At 36.0% G+C, this 21251-nt stretch overlaps 1 annotated feature.

The window, feature by feature from the left end:
- Nucleotides 19792-20991: an enhancer, noted in NCBI's record as "P300/CBP strongly-dependent group 1 enhancer chr4:97023059-97024258 (GRCh37/hg19 assembly coordinates)". NCBI's record gives its function as "activates an origin of replication core promoter dependent on BRD2, BRD4, P300/CBP, MED14 and CDK7 cofactors, with strong dependence on P300/CBP, by STARR-seq in HCT116 cells {active_cell/tissue: HCT116}" and the evidence as "EXISTENCE:reporter gene assay evidence [ECO:0000049][PMID:35650434]".

The raw sequence follows: 21251 nt of genomic DNA, 5'->3' as shown, positions 1-21251 counted from the left end.
AGTTCTATTAAGGTCAAAAGATAATATCAAAATAATATCAAAAATGTTAAAAAGGAGATACAGGTTATGTTTTGGTTGTGCTGAATTGCATGAACTTAACAAAAATAACTTTCTGCTCTTGAAACTTTTTCTTTACCTTTGCCCTTTTGCAGTATCAAGTCCACCTTTGTTCAGTCTCTTCAAATCCCCACTTCACTTCTGCAACTGTACTTCCATACTTATACCCTAAGTGCCAAGGGTAATGGCTATTTTATGGCATTCATACTACCTGTGTTAGTCCATTCTTGCATTACTATAAATACCTGAGACTGAGTAATTTATTAAAAAAACAGGTTTAAGTGGCTCACAATTCTGCAGGCTTTATAGGAAGTGTGGTGCCAACATCTGCTTGGCTTCTGCGAAGCCCTCAGGAACCTTAAAATCATGGTAGAAGGTGAAAGGGGAGCAGGCGCATCACATGATGAAAGCAGGAGCAAGAGAGAGCACCTGAGGTGCACATGTGTTAAATAACCAGATCTCGTGAGAAGTCACTCACTATCAGAAGGACAGCACCAAGGGGATAGTACTAAACCTTACATAAAAAGCCTGCCCCCATGACCCAATCACCTCCCACCAGGCCCCACCTCCAACATTGGGAATTACATTTCAACATGAGATTTGAGTGGGGACACACAACCAAACTATATCACTACCTAAGCCCTCTGTCATATGATGCCTTCAGCTCCTTCCTTTTACTTAGATTCCAGAAAACCATGTTGTATTGTTTCTCTTCATTCTTTCTAACATCTATTTCTCATTTTCCTTTACTGTTGATTTCTAATGTCAGCCCCCTAAACAGTTATCTGATCTCCTATGCCCTGAGTTTGCATTCTCTGCCCTCTCCCCTTAGTAGTCACCAGGTAATCTCATTAATTTCCCTTTCTTATCTGTCTCTTCTTTTCACTGACTCCCAAATATTTGCCTTTCAAATTTTATCTTTATGCTGAGCTTCTGAGTTATACTTTTAGTTTTGTATTGAGTACTTAAAACTTTTTTTCTCATACCACATTTTAAAACATAAACTCAATCTCTCTCTAACACATACACATCCTCTTCTACCCTCTGCCTGAAATTAGGGACTTATCATGCATCCATTACAGGGTCAATTACCGACCATACAAATCATACCACAAATAATTCAAAATCATTATTTTAAATCTCTCTTGAATTAACTCTCTCATCTTCATTTCCACTACTTTTATTTAGGTGCCTCTTCATTTCTCACAATTATTACAACAGGTTTCCTATGGGTTTAACTCCCTGAAATAGTATCGCCTCATGACAACTCCAGCTGACTTTTTAGGCTAATGATTCAGTCTGGCACTCCCTTGTTTTAAATATTCCTGGCCTCTTGCTGGTTCTAAAATAAAGTCCAAGCTCTTTAGCTTGGGACACACGGTATTCTTCACTCTTTTCCTGATCTTTTCCCTCCTTCCTATGTTGCTTCTGACCACTAGTTCTCTTGTTCCCTATATTCACACCAGCCCAACTGGTCTTTCCCCACTTATCCTCAGGCCTTTGCATCTCTGTGACTTTGCCATGTTTTTCACCATTATCTGAGTGTTCTTCTAAATCCTTCTTCTCCAAACCTCTGTTTAAGATCCAAGTAACTACTAACTCTTATGCAAAATCTAAAGAAGACTTCATTCTTTCCGGAGGTTTGGTCAGAATAAAGAATTATTTCAACTTCAATGCTCCTGAAGCACCATTTATATATCTCTATGATAGCATTTATTTGTTGCTTAATTGTTATTTATAAGTGGATCCCAAATTTAATACCTTCAGACTCAGCAACCCCAACCTAATCACCCCTTGACAGAGAGAAAGAATAAGCATGAGTCCTAACTCAACATTGAGCCTTAAAAACTACATTTGTACCTTACTTCTACTGCTTACCAATTATGTAATCCAAACAAAACACATAACCTCGAGGCTACCTAGTTTCTCCTCTAACAAATTAAAATAATAATTATGCCTTCTTTTCTGGTTATTTTAAGAATACTCTGGGAAAATATATGTAAGGTACCACAAATCACAGTTCCTAGATCATGACATATAGCCTTCCTTCTTTGGTTCCTCTTTTTATCCCCAGCACAAAGCACCATTGTCAGCTCATAGGGAGTGTTAAATATAGTAAATATACATGAGTAAAACTATCTGTGTGCTGTATTCAGTGTATCCAAACCTCTCCAAGACTTAATGACTTAAAACAAGGACAATTTTTATTTTGTTCATGAATTTGTGTTCTGGGTTTGGCGAAGACAGCTTGGCTGTGTTCCATTCAGCATCAGCTAAGTGGTCTGAAGCCTGGGAAGCTTAAATCATTGTAAGATTTCCATACAAACCTGCCTGGCATTTGATGCTGCCTGCTAGGTCAGACCTTTGCTGGAGCTGTGGCCAGAACTCCTACACACAGGCATTTCATGTTGCTGTGTGGCTTCCTCACAGAGTGGTGAATGGGTGCCAAGAACAAGTGTCCCAAGAGAGAGCAAAGGGGAAGTTGTGTTACCTTTCATGAGCTTGCCTGGAAGTCATACAGCATCACTTTTGCCAAATTATGTCAGTCAGAAGTGAGTAACTAAGGCTGGTCTATATTCAAGTAAAGAGGAATTACACTTCATGTCTTGATGGATATAGTGTCAAAGAATTTGCACACATATTTTTAGGTCACTGTGCATCCATCTATCAGTGTCAATATCTATACCAGGATTTTGTGTTGAATATAGAAATGAGCCCATTTGAGAATATCTGGGACCCAACATGTGAATTAGGGATCTAGTAAGGCAAAAAAGAAAACAAAACAAGAAACAAACGTAGACCAGAATTTCAGAGACCTGGGTCTTAATTCCAGATGTGCTCAGCTAAACGCTAACTGGGCCTTAACTTCAAACAAGTCAAACTTTTTTTTTTTTTTGAGATGGAGTTTCTCTCTTGTTGCCCAGGCTGGGGTGCAATGGCGCAATCTCGGCTCACTGCAACCTCTGCCTCTTGGGTTCAAGTGATTTTCCTGCCTCAGCCACCCGAGTAGCTGGGATTACAGGCATGCGCCACCACGCCCGGCTAATTTTATATTTTCAGCAGAGACAGGGTTTCTCCACGTTGGTCAGGCTGGTCTTGAACTCCCAACCTTAGGTGATCCACCCACCTCGGCCTCCCAAAGTGCTGGCATTACAGGCGTGAGCCCCTGTGCCGGAACCACAAGGCACAGTTTTTAAGCCTCACTTATTCCATCTCTAAATTAGTGATAATAATTATTCTGCAGTCAATCTCACAAAGCTCTGAGAATCAGAAGAGATAACACAAGTAAAGACATTATGAATGCTACAACCTAGCTAAAATGCTCTGTTATTAGAGTGGGGGATGAAAGAGCAAAACCATCCTTACTTGACATAGCAATAGCAATTCACTCTTATCTTCATTAGATTTACCTCTTGGGAGTATTAACTCTTGGTTCTTTAATTTTCCTTTGTATAAGAAGTGAATTTTGACAAATGCCACCACTACTATTTAGGTACAAGAAAAAGTATTAAGCTTTTGAAGCAGGTATTTTGTAAGTATCCATTGTATCCATATGCACCACAGTGATATACCTCATGTATCTTAAGTTATACATTTCAAGAAAGTAAAGCAAGTGACATTTCACAATCTAAGTTTGTCCTGCTTAAAAAAATGGATTCTAGGTTTGTAGAAAATGTCAAAGAACATCAAGGAAAGTATGTGATATTTAAAATATCAAGCACCCCAATATCCAATATATAAAACAAAAAGGGTAACTAAGGTGTGCACTCTGAACAATATATGACATTTTTAATCATTCTGATTAATAATACCTTGCATTTATATAGCTCCTTTCCTTAAACCAATTTAAATCATTCCATAACTTCCCCATTAAAGTATATTATGCCTTTTTCTTCACCTTTATCTGATTTATTCATTATTCAACCTATAATACACTTGATGGTTCTTTTTACATTCCTTTACATTCTTTTTACGCTCCATATGTGTCCATATAATAAGATTCTAGTAATTGGGAGTTAATTGAAATGTTTATGGATCTATGAAAGAAAACATTCTATGTATTTGGCTGCATTTAAATGTAAAATGCCTCTTCAATATAAAATATGGTGAACAAAGTTCAAAGAGAAGCCATGACCTAGAATGAGATATATCAAACACATAATAGGCAAGAATGTGAATTCAAAATATATGAAATATTACTAAAAATAAATGATAAAAGAAGAAACAACTAAATCAATGAGTATTGAATACAAACAAGAAAGTCACAGAAAAGAAAGCCCAAATTCCCAGTAAACACAGAGAAACATTCCTGATATTACTAAAACCAAGGACTTATGAATTAAAGCAGTAAAGGAATGCCATTTCATATCCATCAATGGTCCAAGTTCTAAAACTTGACAAAACCCAGTTTTGCTGTAAAAATTGGAAACTCCCATACACTGTAAAAGTTGGAAGCTCTCATACACTGCTTTCTCCTAGCTTGCAATATTACATAACGACAAGTGAAGATGAAAATATGCAATGAAAAATAAATATTTTAAGAAATAGCTCTTAGTAGTAGCTATATCTGTTATAATCATTTTCTCAATCATAAAAGATACATTGAATGCATTCTGTATGACAGAATCCGTGTTGGATGTCAACTAGATCTAAGATAAAATGGCTTTAATGGCTAAGATAAAATGATAATGTATGTATAAAGGAATCTCTTAAATGTGGAGCACACAATAGGCACTCAATAAAAGGCATATTTAATAATATTTCCTGAAGTTTTGGGCTAACAGTTACCAATGTTCAATGTCATTGTACGTAAGTCAGTATGTGATCACTTATAAAAACAATATACTACATAGGTGTGTAAGTTTGGGGGTTAGATTTTGTCCTATTTGCAATCCCATCCTATAGGATAAATTCTTTTCAGAAATGGGGTTCTTGCAGCTTGGAACATAATTTCCAATGACAGCTTTAAATATGAATTCACAACGTGTTATATCTCATACAACTTTTATAGAAATGAAGTGACATGCTCAGTGAAAGTATGTTGGCCAACTCAAAAAGCATCTTAAGTGAACTGGATGGTATCAGTGCCACAGATACTGAAAGAGAGTTTGAAATGAGAAAGTGAAATAAGGCAATAATTCTAAATCAATTTGTTATTTTCTATAATGTTATACTGCATAAATACATATCTAAATTAATAAAATTATACCTTCTTTACCAAAAATGGGAAAAACATTTTTTTGTCTGTATATATTTTCCAACTGGGAAAGTAAAGGAAAATCTTAAATTTTGACACGTATTCAGATACACAGTGTACGTCTCCCTTGCTTTAAAATTCTTCAGTGGCTCCTGACAGCTAAGAGGACAAAGTTCAAGCCTCTTATGAAAACATGGAAGGATTCTAGATCTAGCTTTTACTTAGCCCTCCAGTTTTTATATTTTACTTTCCCTTAAACTTCAGTAAAACAGGCTATTTAAGATTCTGTTAAAGGGCTAGACTCTCTCCCCACTGTTCTTTGCTCTGTCTTACCTCCTGGCCCAAGGCACTTCAAAGCTTCAATTCCTGTCATCCCTCTTGTTTGAAAAATTCCCTGAGCAGAACCACTCACCAACTCCTTCTTTCCTTGCAGACCATCCTTTTCATATCTTTTACGTAGTACTATATCATAATTTTCTCTAAAAGTCTAATGTGATAAATAAGACTACACAGTTCAGAGTCAGACAGGCAGAAACTAGCATTCAAGCTTTGTCACTTAAAAGCTGTGTGACCTATGTCAATTCACTTAACTTCTCTGATTGTAAAATAGGGATAATAATATTTACTTATATAGCGTTATGAGGCTTCAATTACTTATAAAACAATTGAGGACAACACATGACACAAAGTGGGTATCAATAAATGAATGGTAGATGCTGTCATCGTTATTATTGCTGGTATATCATCATTTTTATTCCTTCCCCAAAACATGTAATATTTGTAATATTTTGCATAAATGGAATTTTTTTAATTTTTGCATTACTTAATGATTTGACTGGAATACATACTTAATTCTTAGGTGGATGAGTGAATGAATGAGTAGGACCTCGAGAAATGAGCAAATTCTCATATTATAGTTTGTCCCATAGAGAGTAGTGGAGAATAATCAAGTCTCTTTTCCTCCATTATACATCTACAGCACAAACCATGTACTCTTTTTCAGGGTATAAAAAAATCTCATTATGTAATTTTACTATGTATTATTGCAGAGAACTCTCACATTACCTAAACATGAGAAGCGTTTTGCACATTCAGACTCTTAAATTTTATCTTCTGAATTTAGTATCACTTTTTAAGGACAATCTGAAATAGTATGAGTTGTTACTAGTAATGCATACCTCAGAATTCTTTAGGCCAACAGCTGTCTAGCTGGTCTGACACTTAGATACAGATTCTGAGGAATCCAGGGTGAGGGGAATAAGTGTCACAGTGTCAGGGGCTACCAGCCACAGGACAGGTGAGGGAAGGGGTGAAAGGACAACTCAATGATTCATGAACAAATGGATCAAATGGGAAATGGAAGAACTGATGACAGTAAGAAAGATGAGAAAGCCTCCAAGTCCCAATGCCTCTGTCTCCCAGCATTTTATTTAAAAGGTTTCAACTATGGTATTCATGATATTGACATTGACTTATTTGAATGGATTAAAAGAACTCTGAGACTTTCTCCTTCTTAGGTGGCCAGATTATTGAACAGTCTAGTTTAATTCTGATAAACATTTTCCCAGTGAGGATTGCTAATATCCCCAGTGGACAAACTGGAGAAGCCACTGAAGGGCAGATAGATATTCTACTGTAAATAAATTGACATTGCCATTTATCACTACTCCCTTGAGAGTTTAGTCAGCATTGAATCCACAGAGCCTATAAGCCCTGGTAGAGCTCAGAAAAATTGAATTTCAGTATCTATAAGACTAAGTAGTCCCTGAAGTAGAATCAGGAACAACAACAACCGTCCAACTTTCCCTCCTTTTCCAACTTAAGAAAATCACACACACATCATTGTCATTATCCCCTTCAGCCTGCTTTAATTAAAAACACACATTGCACTTCTCATATGTCTACTATACACATGTCTCCTAATTCCAAACTCCTGGAACAAAATGCCCAGTAGGCACAGTGAGCAGGTATAACCTGTTTAAGTCCAGGTCCACAAGGACAGATATTACAAAGAAAAATTGACTTAATTAATTAAGATGTGGTAAAAAAGAAATGACCACAATGAAATCCACTGTGCCCCACTCTCTCAAATTTCCACAGTAAGAGAAAAGCTATGGATTTTTGTTTGCTTGTTTCTATCATTATTAGTTGAGTTGTCTCAAACTCATCTCAGAGAGTAAGATAATTGATATGGTTGGACTCTGTGTCCCCAACCCAAATCTCCTCTTGTAGCTCCCATAATTCCCACGTGTTGTGGGAGGGACCCAGCAGGAGATGACTGAATTATGGGGACAGGTCTCTTCCACGCTGTTCACCTGACAGTGAATGGCTCTCATAAGATCTGATGGTTTTTAAAACGGGACGTGCCAAGCTTTTTGTTTGATTGTTTTTGTTTTTGTTTTGGCTGCTGCCATTCATGTAAGATGTGACTTGCTCCTCCTTGCCTTCCCCCATGATTGTGAGGCTTCGCCAGCCACATGGAACTGTGACTTCTCCATTAAAACTCTTTCCTTTGTAAATTGTCCAGTCTCAGGTATGTCTTTATCAGCAGCGTGAAAACGGACTAACACAAAAATAAAGGCTTGTTTTGCTTTCCCTGCAGCAAATCACCTTTTACAGCCTGGGCTGTGAGCTCCCCACCAAATCTTATTCTCGATTCTCAATAATATCATTCATTATTACCCCAATGTGGATCCACCATCACAAATACTATTACAAAGATACAACAGCACAATTTCTCAGAACATTTCTGAAATGCATTCTTATTTACTTTTCATCCTTTTCTAAAAAGAGTAGCTTCACGATGAGGTCCCAAGCTTTCCAAACAGATTTTGGATAAAGTCCCTATTGAATTACATCCATCTAAATGCTATAAATAGCTCACCCACTTTTATCAGGGGAGTCTTTCATTTGAAATCAGAAATTCTCACAAAGAATTTCTGGGACCGTGTGTATTACATATATCACTAGAGTGCACTGCTTTGTTTCAGGACTCTCATTTAAAGCTCTGTTTAATCATCCTCAAATCATCTTATTCCTTATGAGGATCATGTGAATAGCCAGTGGGTCCCTTTCATGGGTGTGAAACTGATCCCTTTATTGATGTGGCCCCACTGTTCTGTCTACTCTCCTGGAGTGATGCTCTGGAAAAACAAAGTTGCCTGCAATACAGTTTCATGTCAAATTAGCATATGGCACAGCATATGGAATAACAACTAGAGGACTGGTTTCTCAGACCTGAGAAGGTACCAAAAACATATTTTCGGAAGAGACACATCTCTTATTGAAAAGGCAGCTGCCCAACACACAATTGTCTCCCAGTAGACTGGTACTGGCAAAGACAACTGTCTTGACTGAAAGAACACTGCCAAGAAACTGACCTTAGGGGGAACGGAAGAGAGCAGAGCATGATATTTATATTTCTTTAAAGTCTCTTTCAAGTTTTGAAAATCACTCCTAAAAATACACTCAACTGTGACTAGAAATATATATTTTCTAATATTTTGCACAGCCTGGCTTAAAATAAAGCAATTCAACAGATTAGCAGTATTAAACATATGCATTTAGGTTTTTCTAATCTTTCTCAGTTTAATAGTTTAGGACTTTTTTTGAAAACTGCTAAACCTAAGGTGTACTTTGGTATCCCACACATTCTGAAGAGAGAGCACTAATCTCTGATTCTTTCGTTAATTTGCAACTGTTGCAAAGTATTTCAGCATCACATCCTTTATCATACAACTGTCAGTAAAGAATATTTTGAAGATATTGTCAAATCCTTCTTGTGAGTGACAAGTTGTTTCACAGCTTTTTATTTCATCAACTTTTTAAATCTCATTAACCAGAAAACTCATTCTGTCTCAAAGAAATGAATTTTAATGTATTAAATATAATCCACTATAGAGATTCCCGGTGGGAAGAACATATGTACAAAAACCTCTAATATGTAGACAGAATATAGTGAGATTATCACAGCACATTTATGAAGTTCTTGTCTTTATGAACCCTTAATAAAATGCCTCTGGTTGCCCATGATATTCCCCATAAGCCTTTCCCTAAAATTCTAGCTCACATAAACTTGCCTCAAAGTTTTCTTTCCTTTGCCACCAAATGATGACTCATTTCCACAGCATCTAATTAGTATTTACAACTCTAATTGTCTTAATAGATAAGCCTAATTTTTTAAGTACTACAATGCTCATTCTCCCATTTTGGTAAGGCTGACATTCATTTATATGATATTCTAATAGTTCAACCACCACACCTTAGTCATTTTCAACATCCCACTGCCTAGTTAATATGTAAAACACAGTAGAGGTTCAATTTAAGTGTACCAAATTATATTGAACTTTAATATCTGATCTTTTCCAGTTGTCTTAATACATGTTAAACTTTGTCTTCTTTTTTTCCCCATCTAGTCAGGATTCTAAAATAAGCCATTTCATTAATATATCGAATACTCTGAAAACCAATGCCATTTTATGAACTATTTGGACTTCCTCAAGTTACTTAGCCATTTGAGCCTCAATTTCCTCACTGTAAGATCAGAATATTATCTTTAGTTTTAGAGTTTTTGTGGGAATCACAGAGTCATGCTACATGGGTTATTTAACTTACTTAAAGTGAAATACATTGGCTTGAGAAAGAGAGAATAAAGTAAATGGAATGAATGATTCCATCAGTTTTTCTACCCAATAAGTCTCTGCCCTGGAGTAAGCCTGAGATGAGGGATGTAAATCAGTTAATCTCTTTCTCTTAGTCAAAGATAAATATTTTTCATGCAACATAGTTCCAAAATGTAAGCTGCCAATTTCAAACAGAACTAGCAATCTGTTTCAGTGCTGAAGGAAAAGCTGGCTGCATTAGATTTAATGAAAAGTGTTCAATCTATGTCTTTCTTTGGAAATTCTCCAAGAATGTATTTCAGTATATGAAATGTTCATGCTGGCTGACTTTAGAATCTAATACTTGTGAATGATACAATTTTTTTTTTTATTTTACAATACTGTTTATTAGGCAGGGCGCAGTGGTTCATGTCTGTAATCCCAGCACTTTGGGAGGCCAAGGAGGACAGATCACGGGGTGAAGAGATTGAGACCATCCTGGCCAACATGGGGAAACCCCACCTCTACTAAAAATATAAAAACTAGCTGGGTGTGGTGGTGTGTGCCCGTAGTCCCAGCTACTTGGGAGGCTGAGGCAGATGAATCACTTGAACCTGGGAGGCGGAGGTTGCAGTGAGCAGATATTGCACAACTGCACTCCAGCTGGAGACAGAGCGAGACTCTGTCTCAAAGAAAAAAAAAAAATTAGTAATAATAATAATAATGTTTATAAATTGCCCTGCTCATCACCTCTCACACATTAATGACATTCAGTCACATTAGAGGTTTATTATTCATCATTTTATTATACAATAAAATAACCACAACTGCTAGGTGTTTTAGCTCCTTGATGGTTTATCATGTTTCTTACAGTGAAATTTCCAGTTTTCTCAAGTCCTCTGTTTATTTCTCTCCTTTCTTTTGTAACAGATTTTCAATATCCATTGTCACTCTTCAAATTAAGGTTATCCAGCATGAATATACCTTTTTTACATGTTTCCATGTCAAAGCATTTCATTATATTTAACCCCCTCTCTTACATTGGCTAGTCTCTGAGGAAGAATAAAGCTTGTCCAACTTAAGTCAATGACCCAAGATCTGTGTCTGGATCCTACCCACTCATACATCCTCAAAGGCTTTGTTTTACTCACTTTCACATTTTAATCTACACTGTCTTTCTGTTATGTGAATCCACCATCAGGTCTTCTTGGTATTAACAGCAAACTTCCTTTAAACTTGCTTAAAAGGAAGGAACAGTAGCTGGTCTATAAGCCATTGCCTCTACCTTGGACACATCTGGGGAAGGGATCTGTTACTTAAAAAAAAAAAAAATGAAAGTTCTGGGAAAATCTCCTCGCAAACACACTAACCGGACCTCTTGGTAGTATGTACTAAAACACCTTTATAGGAATATATCTATTCTATCTAGGCTGGAATTATTCTATTTTTGTCTGCTGGAATTTATCTGTGTCCACTATATAATTATCAGAGGGTAAAATTATTGGAGTATAAAATGGAGATGTTTTGTGACCAAAATAATACACTTTGTGTGACTGATGTCATGCACGTATAATTCAGATATGCCATATGTTAAATCTGGTCTGGAATGCATTTTAATGCAGAAATATAGACCTGGAAAGCTGCATTAAGTGTTTTCATATTTCATCATTCTTTCCCTGTGGCTTGTGATTACTCATTCATTTTTAAGAAAGGGTAAACAAATAATAGCCTATGAGTTAAAGAGTTATTTAAAAATGAAAAAAAAAATGTGATATTGACCATTTGTATCCTGTAAAGCCTAAAATGTTTACTATCTAGCCATTTGTAAAAAAATTTTTCATCAACCTCTGCTTTAAATTATTAGTGAAATTTAGTCCGTGGGTAATACTTTGCATTTAGTAAATCTGACTTGACAATTGATGGTTTGTGCCATCATACCTGCTATCCTCATTGAACTTCTTGAAAGCAGTAGCAAGAGTCAGCACCACAAGTTCAAAGTACTCATAAAAATAATTCTTATTTCATTTGCCCAGATATAGATTCACTCATACATAGTCATTTGATTTTCAACAAAGATGCCAAATCTTCAAATAGGAAAAAATATATTTTCAACAATGGAGCTGGAATAAATAGTGTGATGGTTAATTTTATGTTTTGACTTGACAGAGCCATGGGGTGCCCAGATATTTGGTCAAACATTATTCTAGGTAAGTCTGTGATGGCGTTTCTGGATAAGATTAACATTTGAATCACAGACTGATTAAACCAGATTACCCTCCTTGATGTGAATGGGCCTCATCCAATCAACTGAATAGCTGAATAGAACAAAGAGGTTGAGTAAGAAGAAACTGTGCCTGCCTGACCGCTGAGCTTGGACATCAGTCTTTTCCTGCCTTTGAACTGGAACTTACACCACTGGCTCTCCTGATTCTCAGGCCACCATAATTATACTGGAACTTACATCATCATTTATCTTGGTTCTCAGACCTTCTGACTCAGACTGGAACAACAGTATTAGCTCGCTTGTCTTCAGCTTGCTGAATACAGTTGTTGGGACTTCTCTAGTCCCCATTATTACACAAGCAAATTCATAATATCTATCTATCTACCTATCTAGCTAGATGATGGCCATGAGACAAAAACATAAGAAAGTATCTTAGTGACTTAGTGTAGGCAAATCATTTTGAGAAGTCACAGAAAACAATATCCATAAATAATTAGTAAATTAAATTTTCAACAAAATGTACAACTTCTTTTCATCAAATGACAGCATGAAGAAAATGAATTAGCAAGATATAGGAACAGAAAGAAAAATATGAAACTCATATATGTGAGAGAGTACTGATATCCAGGATATAAAAAGAATTCCTATAGCTCAAAATAAAAAGTTTCTACAATTAAAAATATGAGACAAACATCTTACTAGACATCTCATAAAAGGAGATACAAGCATACGTTGAAGATATTGTGATTCAGTTCCAGACCACTGCAATAAGCAAATATCACAGTAAAGGAAGTCACACAACTTTTTTCACTTCAAGGGCATGTAAAAGTTATGTTTATACTACACTATAGTCAACGAAGCGTATAATAGCATTATGTCTAAAAAATCCAATGGGATTACCTTAATTAAAATATAATTTGTCATAAAAAATGCTAACAATCATCTGAGACTTTAGCAAGTCATAATCTTTTTGCTGGTGAAGGATCAGCCTCATGTTGATGGTTGCTGACTGATCAAGGTGGTAGTTGCTGAAGGTTAGGATGACTGTGACAATTTCCTAAAATAAGACAATAATGAAGCTTGCCACATCAATTGACTATTTTTCATAAATAGTCTCTGTGGTATGTTATGTTATTTGAAAGCATTTACCAATAGTAGAAACTTCTTTCCAAACTGGAGTCAATCTTTTCAAATCTTGCCTCTGCTTTATTCATTAGGTTTATGTAATATTCTAAATTTTTTGTGGTCATTTCAACAATATTCACAGCATCTTCACCAGGAGTAGTTTCCGTTTCAAGAAACCACTTTTTTTGCTCATCCATAGAAACAACTCCTCATACATTGAAGTTTTACCATGAGATTGCAGTAATTCAGGCCCAGGTTCAGTCTCCACCTCTAATTCTAGTTCCGTTTCCATTTTCACCACATCTGCAGTTACTTCCTCCACTGAAGTCTTGAACACCTTAAAGTCTTCCATGAGGGTTGGAATCCACTTCTCCCAAATTCCTGTTAATGTCGATATTTTCACCCCCTCTCATGAATCACAAATGTTCTCAGTGGCATCTAGAATGGTGAATCCTTTTCAGAAGGTTTAAAATGTATTTTGCCCAAATCTCAGAAAATTCATTATCTATGTCAGCTAAACTTTTATGAAATATGTTTTTTTGACAATAAGACTTAAAAGTTGCAATTACCCTTTGACTCATGAGCTGCAGAGTTGATACTGTGTTAGCAGGCATGAAAACATTATTCTTCTTGTACATCTCCATCAGAATTCTTGGATGACTAGGCGCATTGTCAATGAGCGGTAATATTTTGAAATAAATCTTTTTTTTTTTTCTGAACAGCATTTCTCAACAGGAGGCTTACATTTTTCAGTAAACCAAGTTGTAAACAAAAGTTAGATCATTATCGTTTTGTTGTTCTATTTCTAGAGCACAGGGAGGAGTAGATTTAGCATAATTCCTAAGGTACCTAAGATTTTCAGAATGATAGGTGAGCACTGGCTTCAACTTAAAGTCACCAGCTGCTTTAGCCCGTAACAAGAGAGTCAGCTTGTCCTTTGAATCTTTGAAGGCAGGCATTGACTTCACTTCAGCTATAAAAGTCTTAAACAGCAACTTCTTCTAATAGAAAGCTATTTCAGCTACGTTTAAAATCTGTTGTGTGGTGTAGTTACCCTCAACAATAATCTTAGCTAGATCTTCTGGATAACTTGCTGCAGCTTCTACATCAGCAATTGCTGCTTCACCTTGCACTTTTATGTTATGGAAATGGCTTCTTTCCTTAAACCTGATGACCCAACCTCTGCTAGCTTCTAATTTTTCTTCTACAGCTTTTTCATGTTTCTCAGCCATCATAGACTTAAAGATAGTTAGGGCTTTGCTCTGAATTAGACTTTGGTTTAAGGGAATGTTGTGGTTAATTTGATCTATCCAGACCACTAAAACTTTCTCCATATCTTGAACAAGGCTGTTTCGCTTTCTTATCATTCATATGTTCACTGGAGTGGTACTTCTAAATTCCTTCAAGAACTTTTCCTTTCCCAACTTGATTAACTGGCCCAAGAGGCTTAGCTGTCAGTCTATCCTGGCTTTTGACATGTTTTTCTCAGTAAGCTTCATCATTGCTAGCTTTTGATTTCAAATACAAAATGTACCACACTTTTTTTTCACTCAAACACTTAGAGGCATTGTAGGGTTATCAACTATTCTAATATGAGTATTGTTTTGTCTTAGGTAATAGAGAGGCCCAAAGAGAGAGGGAGAAGAGAGATAGGGGAATGGCCATTTGGTGGTGCAGTTAGAACTTACGGATTGTTTGCCATCTCATATGGGCACAGTTTGTGGTGCCCCAAAACAATTAATTACAATAGTAACATCAAAGTCACTGATCACATATCATCAGAACATACATAACATAGTGGGAAAGTTTGGAATATTGTAAGAAATACCAAAAACTAACGAAGAGACACAAAGAGGGCACATGCTGTTAAAATAAAATAATGCTGATAGACTTGCTCAACGCAGGGTTGCCACGAACCTTCAATTTGTAAAACACACTATCTGTGTAGCACAATAAAACAAGTTATGCCTTACACAAATGGCCTATAAGCATATAAGAAAGAGCTCAACATAATTATCATCAGAGAAATTCAAATTAAACCCACAATGAGACATTATTACGCATTCATCAGAACGGCTAAAATTTTTAAAGACTGATAACAACAACTAGATGTGAGGATGTGGAGGTGGTACCGTACAGTGTTTGCTGGGAGTACAAAAGTGTATATGCACTTTGAAAAAAATCTGGTGTTTTCTTTCAAAACTAAACATATACTTAAGACCCAGCAATCTGACGTTACATTGTTACCTAAAAGAAAAGAAAATACATGCCCACAGAAAACTTTTGTAACTTTAAAACAGCTTTGTTCATAATACTCACAAACTAGAAATGACCCAGCTTCCTGCCAATAGGACAACTAGTAAATAATCTATAATATATTCATACAATGGGATACCATTCCACATTTAAAGAGTCAAGCTACTGACAAATCCAACAACATGGGTAAATCTCAAAAACATTATGCTCAGTCAAATGAGCTTTACAAAAAAAGAGTACATTTTATATTGTTCACTTATGTGAAGTTCTAGATCAGGTGACTCTAATTGATGGCAGAAAAGCACTAGAACAATGGTTGCCAGAAGGCAGAATTAGGAGTTAATTTGAAAAGAGGATGAGAGAAATTTCTGGGATAATGGTGTTCTATATCTTGATTGAGGTTCGGTTTACAAATGAATAGGCACTTGCCAAAATTCACTGAATTGCACACTTAAGATTTGTGCATTTTGTTATATGTAAATTTTACATAAAAGGCATCAAATTTTGAACTCCAATTAATATTGCATATGGTAAGGTATTATGGGAAAGTTTATGGCTCTCTATAATGGGAACTTTCTATGGGAATGTTCATGGCCCTCCTTTAAATGCATCAAATGTAAGATAGTTGGATGGATAAATAAAGGAATGGAGTAGCATAAATATCTAATAAAACATTTTTATCAGCCCCCAGAATTGTGAAAATAAATTTTTGTTGTTTAATCCACTCAGTCTGTATTATTTTGTTATGGCAACCCAAGCAGACTAATGCAACAGGTGTTCATTGTAAAATTCTTTCAACTCTGTTATATATTCAAAAATTCACATGAAAAAGACTAACAAATAAACCAAAAATTCAAATAGAATTAATGATTAAGAGCACTACCTTTGGAATCATAAAGAATTGCACCCTAACTGTAGCTCCGCAACTTGCTAGTTGGGTGAAAATTAGTGTTATGTAACCTATCTTAGCCTTCTGTTCTCATTTGAAAATGGGTATCATAATAAAACACCTCTCTCAGTTTGATGTAAACATGAAATAAAATATTATATATGCTAATACCTAGCACAAAGCCTTTGACATATAAAGTGCTCAATTAACGTTTGTTACTAATAGCTTTTTACTACTACCTTGCAGATTTTAATATCTTGAAATAAAAGAAAAAAATATGTGAAGTACTATCTCAGCTTTCAAAGTCAAAGCACCAGGTCATTGTATGTCCTTTTACTTCTTCTCTTCAGTGTTGGTATACATTCAAACACTTATCAGCACTTTTCATTCTACCCACTCTCAGGGTGAAAAAATGGACTATAAACCAAAGTAAGAGGAAAATTCATTACCAAATGTGTTAATTTTTAAACACTTTTTTTACTTCATTAAAGAAAAGTAGACTTCTGTTACCATAGTGATTTGATTAATTCTGCTGAGAGTAGCAAGATTCTCAGATATTCTCCTGTAATTGTGCAATATATAAATCTAAATAAAAACATAAAAATTTGATAAACCCTGTATGTAGCATATGTGTGTTTTAAAGAGAAATAATAAAATGAACATATATATATATATATATATAAATACTGTCTAAAAGAAAAAATATCTTTACTTTGAAGCTTTCTCTAAGTCTCTTCCCAAACGCTTTATCCCACTGCTTCCCCAACTCTTCCAAGAAGTAAACACTATGGTGAATTTTGTTGATTATCCCCTCTAGGCTATAGAGGACAGTGAAAGAGCACAAACTCATTGAGCCAGGCTCATTGAGCTAGGCTCAAAAACTTGTGAGCTAGGCTGCTAGATTTAAGTCCTGGATCTCCTACTTTATAACTGTGTGACTTAGAGGCCGTTGCTTAACCTCTCTCTATGTCATTTCCTATATTTGAATGGGAATCATAATATTAGTTAAGAATATATATTGTATTTTATTGAAAGTGTCTGGCACATAGTGCTTTAGATATATTTTCTATTATTTTGCTTTTCTACTTAGTTCAACCTATTTGTATGAATCTCTATAAAAATATATTCCCTTACACCAGTAATCCCAGCACTTTGGGAGGCCAAGGTTGGCGGATTACGAGGTCAGGAGAGCGAGACAATCCTGGCTAACATGGTGAAACCCCATCTCTACTAAAGACACAAAAAATTAGCCAGGCGTGATGGCGGGCACCTGTAGTCCCAGCTACTAGGGAGGCTGAGGCAGGAGAATGGCGTGAACCCGGGAGGCGGAGCTTGCAGTGAGCCGAGATTGCGCCACTGCACTCCAGCCTGGGTGACAGAGCGAGACTGTGTCTCAAATATATATTATATATTATATATATTATATATTTATTTATTTATATTCCTGAATTTTGGCTGATTTTGACATTTACAGATAAGGGATTATACTACTATCAAGTAGAGCTTGCTTTGATCTTTCAAAATAAACTTTTGATAGTCTTTCAATATATGTGATTGTTTGGTTTATTCTTTTTTTGCTGTCATATAATATTCCACTGTATGAATACATGACTATTATTCTTTCTTTTGTTGATAAATTCTTGGACTATATCTACATTTTTATATTAGAAACAGTAGTACTCAGCCATTTCATGTCATTATCATGACAAAATATCCCACATGTGTACATGTGGGATGGTAAACATCATCTGTCAATTCCCTCTCAATTAATGTAGAATATTATGAGTTACAGAATAACAGTTCTTTTTTGTACTTAAATCCTTATGTATTGATCATATATAGAAATATTTCTCCACATAAATCAATATTTAAGAAAACAAATCTACCACCTTGTGAAGAGTTATGAATTTTCAATTTGCTTTTCATCAAATCCTATTTTATTTTTATAAAAATGACTGAAGAAGTCACAATTAAAGTGTTATTATTGGGCTAGACAGCCACAAAACATATTTTGAATGTATTGAACAACTTTAACCTTCATGAGGAACCAAATTTTAATTAACACCCAAATCATTCAAATGCTCCTAAATTTTTGTCTCTGCATGGCTAAAACTTAGTGAATGGTTATGGTGTCTAATGAACGAATCTATTAAGAACTTGTCAATAACACAGATAAGTGTTTTATTTGCTTTACTAACAGCCTGTAGAACAAAAAGCTTTCGATATCTTTGACTAAATTAATGGGCTAGTATCTGATAGAGAGCAAGTGGTTTAATCATTATAACAGATGATTCTGAGTTTAGAGTCATAGGTTTAAATTCTTTTGAGATTTTTCACTTAGCCCTATCATTAGCATACATTGATTGCTCTGATTGGCTAATCATTGAATTAGGAAATAGATAACCTTAGTTACTAAACTGGTTCAGTACATAGTTTTCAAACGTTGGGAGAGAATTAGTCAATTTTGCATAAATATATCCTTGAGATTTAATGTGTTTTTCAATAAAAGTTATTAAAAAATTAATCCTAATATAAATATATAAATAAAACACCTAAATAAACAAAATATTGTTATTAGTGAAATAAAATATCTGATTGGAAAACTTGAAACAGCCAGAGATATATGTTGGCTGATTGTGTTTATTATGTATTTGAGCCCTTTATTAAAATCCATCTGTATAACAAAAATCTGTTTTCTAGAATACTTTAAACTAGTGATAACTAATCCTATTGCTTGCATGTAGAAATGTTCTGAGATACAATGAGAAAGGCCTTAAGAGACATTGGTTCACAGAACAATTAAACTATCATATGTATTCCCTAAGGAGCTTCTCCTATTACAAATAATACTGACATAACAGGAGGGGATGAACATTCTGGTTAAATGATAATGAACAATACAAAATGTAATGCTGTATAGGTATGAATAAGACATAAGGAAATTGTTTCAAAAGCCAGCCCAACGGCTCTTTGATACAAACCCATGGGCTCTTCCCTTTCCAATGAGCTCAATTAGCCCTCTGCTCCATGACATCACAAAGTAACTGGTTTAAACTGTGCTTCACGAGCCTTTTACATACAAGAATTAAACAAGCCTGTCTCATTTAATTTCAGTTAATGTAAGTGAGCTTCTGAAAGTGAATTGCTCCGTTGTAACACCGAGCTTGAAGCCAAGTTGGCTGATTAATTCCTAGCTGTTTGAAGTGTTTTCTTCTCTTATCTTGAGCTATGCAGGCCTTACTACAGCCTGAGGAGAGCTGAGCCTAAATGTATGGGAGAATTTGGTTTCCTCTCCACAGAGAGGAATGGAGACCAGATAAGCACTGTGGCGTAAAACTGAAAACAACCAAATACTTGTTGCCAATTTTGAGAAATGTGCGGGATATAGGGCTAATTAGAGAAACCAAAAAGTCCATAATATAGCATCCTTCTATCTGACTTTCAATTCACTGGTACACTGTGCAATTTTAATTGAAAATTACTATTGCCTAGAAATTAACATTACCCTAAAGATGCCCTAGTTAGTTCCAGTTGAGGTTTTTACATAAAATAAGCATTAGCAGCATGATTAAGGAAGGGAGGAAGGGAGAGGCTGAATATGGTGAGTCATTAGGGCAACAATTAGGACACTTTCCCAGATTTTACTCTATAACCTTTAGAAATCTTCAGATAATCTGTTTTGCTATTCCCAGGAGAGTTCTTTTATGTTCTCCAAAGCAAAATATGCCTCACGATGAATTTCCTAAAAACATATCATGGTGTATCTTCCAGCTTGAGATGAAAAAGCATTGGCTTTTAGGAGGTAATTTAGTGACTACACCCTAAGCTTTCCCCCCCAACACACACACATACTCACACCCTGCTCCCGTCTCACACATACTTTTCATATCTTGAGTGCATATTTTGTTCTAAATAGACATTGCGACAAATGGTGGTGTATTAGTCTGTTCTCACATTATTATAAAGAAATACCTGAGACTGGGTTGGGCATGGTGACTCATGCCTGTAATCCCAGCACTTTGGGAGGCTGAGGTGGGTGGATCATGAGGTCAGGAGATCGAGACTAGCCTGGTTAACGTGGTGAAACCCCGTCTCTACTGAAAATACAAAAATTGGCCAGGTGTGGTTGTGTGTGCCTGAAGTCCCAGCTACTCAGGAGGCTGAGGCAGGAGAATCGCTTGAACCCGGGAGGCGGAGGTTGCAGTGAGCTGAGATCATGCCATTGCACTCCAGCCTGGGTGACAGAGCAAGACTCCAATTAAAAAAAAAATCAAATCTCCTGATAACTCATTCACTATTACAAGAACAGCATGGGGGACACTGCCCCCATGATATAATCACCTCCCTCCCTCCACAGTGGGGATTACAGGTCCCTCCCTCAACAGGTGGGGATTACAATTCAAGATGAGATTTGGGTGGGACACAGAGCCAAACCATATCATTCTGCCCCTGGCCCCTCCCTCCCCTGGTCTCTCATGTCCTCACATTTCAAAACACAATCATGCCTTCCCAACAGTCCCCCAATATCTTAACTCATTCCAACATTAATCCAAAAATCCATAGTCCAAAGTCTCATCTGAGACAAGGCAAGTCCCTTCTGCCTGTGAGCCTGTAAAATAATAAACAAGTTAGTTCTTTCCAAGATACAATGGGGGTACAGACATTGGGTAAATACACCTTTTCCAAATAGGAGAAATTGGCTAAAACAAAGGGGATAGGCCCCATGCAAGTCCAAAATCCAGGGGGCCAATTATCAAATCTTAAGTTTCAAAAATTATCTTCTTCACTTCCATGTCTAGCATCTGGGCATGCTGATACAAGGGGTGGGCTCCCATGACCTTAAGTAGCTCCTTCATGGGCTGGCATTGAGTGCCTATGTCTTTTCTAGGTGCACAGTGCAAG

This window comes from Homo sapiens, chromosome 4 (assembly GCF_000001405.40).
Source record: "Homo sapiens chromosome 4, GRCh38.p14 Primary Assembly".
Lineage (NCBI taxonomy): Eukaryota > Metazoa > Chordata > Mammalia > Primates > Hominidae > Homo > Homo sapiens.
Note: the sequence above shows the minus strand (reverse complement) of the source record. Positions and strands in the feature narration are given on the sequence as shown.